At 39.4% G+C, this 6,866-nt stretch overlaps 1 pseudogene, besides 2 other annotated features; it reads right to left on the reverse strand.

Moving 5' to 3' along the window:
* Positions 1,858 to 1,948, reverse strand: RNA5SP149 (RNA, 5S ribosomal pseudogene 149; annotated as a pseudogene).
* Positions 5,383 to 5,883: an enhancer, noted in NCBI's record as "H3K27ac hESC enhancer chr3:179883200-179883700 (GRCh37/hg19 assembly coordinates)". NCBI's record gives its function as "activates a minimal SCP1, AML or CMV promoter by ChIP-STARR-seq in primed H9 embryonic stem cells {active_cell/tissue: H9 hESC(primed)}" and the evidence as "EXISTENCE:reporter gene assay evidence [ECO:0000049][PMID:30033119]".
* Positions 5,884 to 6,384: an enhancer, noted in NCBI's record as "H3K27ac hESC enhancer chr3:179883701-179884201 (GRCh37/hg19 assembly coordinates)". NCBI's record gives its function as "activates a minimal SCP1, AML or CMV promoter by ChIP-STARR-seq in primed H9 embryonic stem cells {active_cell/tissue: H9 hESC(primed)}" and the evidence as "EXISTENCE:reporter gene assay evidence [ECO:0000049][PMID:30033119]".

The following is a 6,866-nucleotide window of genomic DNA, read 5'->3' on the forward strand; positions in this document are numbered from 1 at the left end:
TTGCTTAGGATAATGACTCCCAGCTACATCCATGTTGCTGCAAAGGACATGCTTTTATTCCTTTTTATGGCTGCATACTATTGCATAGTGCATATATACCACATTTTCTTTATCCAGTCCTCCTTTGATAGATACCTAGGCTGATTCCACATCTTTGCTATTGTGAATAACACTGCAATGAACATATGGGTGCCTTTTTATAAAACAATTTATTTTATTTGGATATATACCCAGTAATAGATTCCTGGTTGAATGGTAGTTCTATTTTAAGTTCCTTGAGAAATCTCCAAATTGCTATCCACAGTGGCTGAACTAATTTGCAGTCCTACCAACAGTATGTGAGTATTCCCTCTTCTCTGCAGCCTCTGCATCTGGTGCTTTTTGGTTTCTCACTGTGGTTCGATTTGCTTCTCTGATGATTAGTGAGATGGAGCATTTTTTCATATGTTTATTGGCCACTTGTATGTCTTCTTTTGAGAAGTGTCTGTTCAAGTCTTTTGCCCATTTTTTAATGGGTAGTTATTTATTTTTTGCCTGTTCAATTGTTCAAGTTCCTTATAGAGTCTGGATATTAAATCTTTGTTGGATTTTGCGAATATTTTCTTCCATTCTGTAGGTTGTCTGTTTACTCCCCCCCCTTTTTTTTTTTTTAAGAGATGAGGACTCCCTATGTTGCCTTGAGTTGTCTTGAACTCCTGGGCTCAAGCCATACTCCTGCCTTGGCCTCCCAAAGTGCTGGGATTACAGGAGTGAGCCACCAAGCTCAGCCTGATAGTTTCTTTTGCTGTGCAGAAGCTCTTTAATTTAACTGGGTCCCATTTGTCAATTTTCGTTTTTGTTGCAATTACTTTTGAGGACCTAGGCCAAAATTCTTCCCAAGGCCAATGTCCAGAAAAGCATTTCATAGTTTTTCTTCTAGGATTCTTATAGTTTGAGGTCTTATATTTAAGTCTTTAATCCATCTTCAGTTAATTTTTGTATATGGTGAAAGATAGGGATCCAATTTAATTCTTTTCCATATGGCTGGCCAGCTAGTCCAGCAGCATTTATTGAGTAGGAAATCCATTCCCTATTGCTTATTTTTGTCAACTTTGTCAAAGATCAGATGGCCATAGGTGTGCAGCTTTATTTTGGGTTCTCTATTCTGTTCCATTAGTCAATGTATCTAGTTTTGTACCAGTACCCTGCTATTTTAGTAACTGTAGTTTTGTAGAATAGTTTGAGGTTAGTTAATGTGATGCCTCTAGCTTTGTTCTTTTTGCCTTGGATTGCTTTGGCTACTCAGGCTTTTTCTGGGTTCCATATAAATTTTAGAAGTTTTTTTCTAGTTTTTTGAATAATGATATTGATAGCTTGAAAGGAATAGCCTTGAATCTGTAAATTTTTTTGGTCAATATGGCCATTTTAACAATATTGATTCTTTTATTCCATGAGCATGGAATGCTTTTTCATTTCTTTGTGCCATCTATGATATTGTTCAGTAATGTTTTGTAGTTCTCCCTGTAGAGATCTTTCACCTTCTTGGTTAGAGGTATTTCTAGTTTGCTTGTTTGCAGATATCATAAATGTGATTGTGTTATTGATTTGGCTCTCAGGACATTATTGGTATATATTAATGCTACCGATTTTTGCACATGGATTTTGTATCCTGAAACCTTACTGAAGTTGTTTTTCAGTTCCAGGAGCCTTTTGGCAGAGTCTTTATAGTTACCTAGGTATAGAATCATATTGTCCATGAAGAGACAGAGTTTGGCTTTTTTTCCTATTTGGATGCTTTTATTTCTTTGGCTTGCCTGACTGCTCCATCAAGGACTTCCAGCCCTACATTGAATAGGAGTGTGAGAGCGAGTAATCACTGTCTCCCTTCCAAGTACTAACCAGGCCCGACCCTGCTTAGCTTCCGAGATCAGACGAGATCGGGCGCGTTCAGGGTGGTATGGCCGTAGACAGCAATCACTGTCTAATTCCATTTCTCAAGGAGAGTGCTTCCAATTTTTGCCTGTTTGGTATAATGTTGGCAGTGGGTTTGTAATAGATGGCTCTTTTGTTTTTTAGGTATGTTCCTTCAATGCCTAGTTTGTTAAACGTTTTTACTATGAAGAGATGAGATATTGGATGCTATCAAAAGCTTTTTCTGCATCTATTGAAATGATTGTATGGTTTTTGTTTTTAATCCTGTTTATGTGGTTGGTGAATCACATCTATTGATTTGTATATGTTGAACCAACCTTGCATCTCAGAAATGAAGCCTACTTGATCATGGTGAATTAAGTTTTTGATGTGCTGTTGGGTTTGGTTTGCTATTATTTTTTGAGGATTTTTGCATCTATATTCATTGGGGATATTGGTCTGAAGTTTTCTTTTTTTGTTGTGTCTTTGTGATATTTTGGTATCAGGGTAATGCTGGCTTTGTACAATGAGTTAGGGAGGAGTCCCTCCATTTTTGATTTTTTGAAATACTGTTAGTAGGATTGGTACCAGCTTTTCTTTGTACATCTGGTAGAATTCAGCTATGAATCCATCTAATCTGAGCTTTTTTTTGGTAAGTTTTTTATTTCTGATTCAATTTTGGAACTTGATATTGGTCTGGTCAGGGTTTTAATTTCTTCATGATTCAATTTTGGGAGATTGTGTTTCTAGGAATTCATCCATTTCCTCTAGATTTTCTAGTTTGTGTGCATAGAAGTGTTCATAATCATCTCTGAGTATCTTTTGTGTTTCTGTGGGGTCAGTTGTAATGTCACCTTTGTCATTTCTGAGTGTGCTTATTTGCATTGTCTCTCTCTCTTTCTGTCTCTCTCTGTTAATCTAGCTAGTGGTTTATTGATCTTGTTTATTCTTTTAAAGAACCAATTTTTTGTTTTGTTGATTCTTTGCATGTTCTTGTTTTTCTAGTTCCTCCAGGTGTGACATGAGATCATTAATTTGAGAACTTCCTAACTTTTTGAGGTAGGTATTTAGTATTATAAACTTTCCTCTTAACACTACTTTTGCTGCATCCCAGAGACTTTGGTACGTCTCTGTTTTCATTTATTTCAAGTAATTTTTAAATTTATGCCTTAATTTTATTGTTTACTAAAATCATTCAGGAGCAAATTGTTTAATTTCCATGTAATTGTGTGGTTTTGAGAGATCTTGTGTTGATTTCTATTTTTATTCCACTGTGGTCTGAGAGAGTGGTTGGTATAACTCAGGTTTTAAAAAATGTATTGCAGTTTGCTTTGTGGTCGAACGGTTGATCAATCTTGAAGTATGTTCTATGTGCCAATGAGAAGAACGTATATTCTGAGGTTGATGACTGGAATATTCTGTAGGTATCTGTTAGGTTCAATTGGTCAAGTGTTGAATTTAAGTCTGTAATTTCTTTGGTAGTTTTCTGCCTTTATGATCTGTTTAATAATGTCAGTGGGGTATTGAATTTCCCCACTATTATTGTGTGGCTATCTACATTTTTTTCACAGGTCTAAGAGTACTTGTTTTATGAATTTGGGTGCTCCAATGTTGGATGTGTATATATTTAGAACAGTTAAGTCTTCCTCTGAATTGAATCCTTTGTTCTTATGTAATGTGCTTACGTGCTTGCTTTATTTATTTATTTATTTTACTGTTGTTTAAAGTGTATTTTATCTGGTAAAGGGATAGCAGTCCCAGCTCTTTTTTGTGTTCCATTTTCATGATAGATTTTTCTCCAGTCCTTTACTTTGAGCCTATGGGTGTCACTACATGTGAGATGGACAGATGGACTTTTTTTTTTAATCAAACTTGCCACTTTGTCCCTTTCAAGTGGGCTGTTTAGACATTCAAGGTTAATTACATTCAAGGTTAATATTGATATGTTAGGTTTTGACCATTTCATGGAGTTGTTAGCGAGTTGCTTTAGAGTTTTTATCACGTGATTGCTTTACAGGGTGTGTGGGCAATGTATTTAAGAGTGTTTTTGTGGTAGCAGGTATTATTTTTTGGTTTCCATGTTTAGAACTCTCCCAAGGATCTCTTATATGGTTGGTCTAGTGGTAATAAATTTCCTTAGCACTTGGCTTGTCTGAAAAATATTTTATTTTTCCTTTGCTTATGAAGCTTAGTTTGGTGGGATATGAAATTCTTGGTTGGATTTTTTTTTCTTTAAGAATGCTGAAAATAGGCCCCCAATCTCTCCTGGCGTATGAAGTTTCTGCTGAAAAGACTGCTGTTAGCCTGAATGGGTTCCCTTTGTACATGATCTGACCATTTTCTCTTACTGCCTTTAAGATTTTTTTTCTTTAGTGCTGACCTTGGATAGTCTGATGACTGTATGCCTAGATGATGTTTGTTTTCTATAGTATCTTGCAGGTGTCCTCTGGATTTCTTGTATCTAGATGTCTGTCTCTCCAATAAGATTAGGACATTTTGTTGAATTATGTCATCAAATATGTTTTCCAGGTTGCTTGATTTTTCTCTAGCTCCTTCAGGAATGCCAATAATTCACAGGTTTAGTCAATTTACATAATCTCTTATTTCTCAAAGACTTTGTTCATTTTTAAAAAATTTTTTGTTTTTGACTGTATTAGTTCAAAAGACCAATCCTCAAGCTCTGAAATTCTTTCTTCTACTTAGTGCAGTCTATTGTATTTTGAAATTCATTAAGTGAGTTTTGTAATTCCAGGAGCTCTGATTTTTTAACATGTTTATCTCTTCCTTCATTTCCTGGATTGCTTTAGAAGTTTCTATGTTTTTATTTTTAACCTGGTCTTGGATCTTACTGAGTTTCCTTGCAATCCATGCTCTGAACTCTTTATCTGCCATTTCTGAGTTTCTTTTTTAGGGACCACTGCTAGAAAGTTAGGATGTCCCTTTGGTGGTGTCACTACATCCAGATTTTCCAAGGTGCCAGAATTCTTGAGCTGGCCCTTTCTCATCTGGGTAGGCTGGCACTTTTAATCTTTGTAATTATTTTTGTGTGCGTAGGATTGTTTCTTTTACTTTCTTTCCCTATAATGTTATTGCTCTCTTGTTCTTTCCCTTTCCCTTATCCGTTCTCCTTAGATAGTGTGACTATAGAAAATGCTGGGTGGGGTCTTTTGGTTTTGCTTCTGTAATTCTAGGCACTTCTGTTGGCAGGCTTTATATTGTGCTGTGCTGTTTGATGGTTAAGAGCTGGCTATGGCCAATGCAGCTGGGTATATACTTGATCCTTGTTTGCTGGGAGAAGTTCTCTGTTGCCTGAGGCAATGGGCTGATTTATCAAGTGCACAGTGGCTTGAGCTCTCACTTCAGCCCAGGAAGGCAGGGGTTAGATGGGCAGTGCCAGACTGGGCACATCTGCCTACAGGTTTCCTGATAGTCACTGCCAGCACTAAGGGAAAATCCAGTTGGCAGTCACCAAGTGGCCAGTGATGTGCCTAGGTGTGGAGCTGGAAAACTTCTTCAATCCCAAGTTATCTGCATGGGGATAGGAGGCAGCTTAAACTCCTAATCCAGGAGAATGGGTGTTCTAGATGCCTGGAGATCTGCCTGGGTGTGGAGTGGAAAGGGCCTTCCTGCACTGAAAACTTTGCATATGAATGGTGGGGCAACAGAACCAAGCACTCAAGGCTGCTGAACCAAGGAGAGGTGCCTGACCATGAAGTAGAGACTCTCTGGACCCAGATCTCTGCACAGGAAGGGTGGGATGGCTCAAGCTGCCAATTTGGGTGAGCAGGTGCTATGATTTCCTGGAGATGTGCCTGGGCTTGGAGCAAAGAGAGGCCCCCTGCACCAAGATCTCTGCACAGAAGGGGTGGGGTGACTCAGGCTGCTAAACCAGGAAAGCAGGTGCTTTGAATGACTAGAGATCTGCCTGGGTATGAAGCAGAGAGGGACCTCCTCCTGCACAGGAAGAGTGGGGCAACTCAGGCTGCTGGTCCATGCTAGCAGGTGCTCCAAATGCCTAGAGATCTGCCTATGTTTGGGGTAGAGAGTGCCCCCATTCTACCACAGTCTATGCACAGGAAGGGTGGGGTGGCTCAGGCTGCTGATCCAGCAAGTGAGTGCTCTGAATTCCCGAATTTCTTCCTGGAGATGCAGCAGAGAGGTCCTTGCTGTGCCATAATCTTGGAGGAGCAGGCTGGGGCACTTAAAAATGAAACACACAGACTGGCTCCAGGTCACCACTCTGGCCCTGGCTGCAAGTCTTGTTGCCCAGGAGAAACTGCAGCTGCTGCAGCATCCCTCCCACCCTAGGCTTATAACAGAGGAGAACACAATTCTAGCACCTGCTGAAGTGCTTTCCACAGTTCTGGCTGTGGAGGCCCCAATCCCACTCCAGAGGAGACGTTCCAGTCTCTGGCCCAAGATAAAATGCCTCCCTGGCCATGCTATCAGGTGTCCAAAGAATGGTTGACTTCATATGTGCCTTGATTAAAGATGGTATCCTGCATTCATTTCTGTGTTTGGGAAAGTGCCTGCAGCTTTTCCTGGTTTATTTCCCTTACAGTGTCTCCAACCCTTTCCCCAAGTTAGCTCTAGAGCTTGGGAAAAACACAATGCTCTGCCTTGGCCTGGGTTGCTCAGATCTCCAGTGGAAAGTTGGCTCACAGAGGCTCTCTGCCTCTCTTGTATACTGGGAGTTCACACACTCTTATTAGCCAGATGCTGTCATGGAGGCTGTTTGTCTGTTCTCTTCTCTCTAGGATTTGGGTTATCCTTCATGATTCTGGTGGACTCTTCTTTTCCTTCTTGAATTAAAGCTCACTGAGTTGATCTTTATGCACCATTTTGCTATTTCCGAATGGCTGAGGCATGCTAAACACCTCTGATTTACCATCTTGGAAAACCAAACACAAAGCAAAACAAAACCTTTTTCTAGTTTTTGATTTAGCCATTTCTTGCTATAAACTTGTCTTCTGTTA

Source organism: Homo sapiens, chromosome 3, assembly GCF_000001405.40.
Source record: "Homo sapiens chromosome 3, GRCh38.p14 Primary Assembly".
In the NCBI taxonomy this organism is placed as follows: Eukaryota; Metazoa; Chordata; class Mammalia; order Primates; family Hominidae; genus Homo; species Homo sapiens.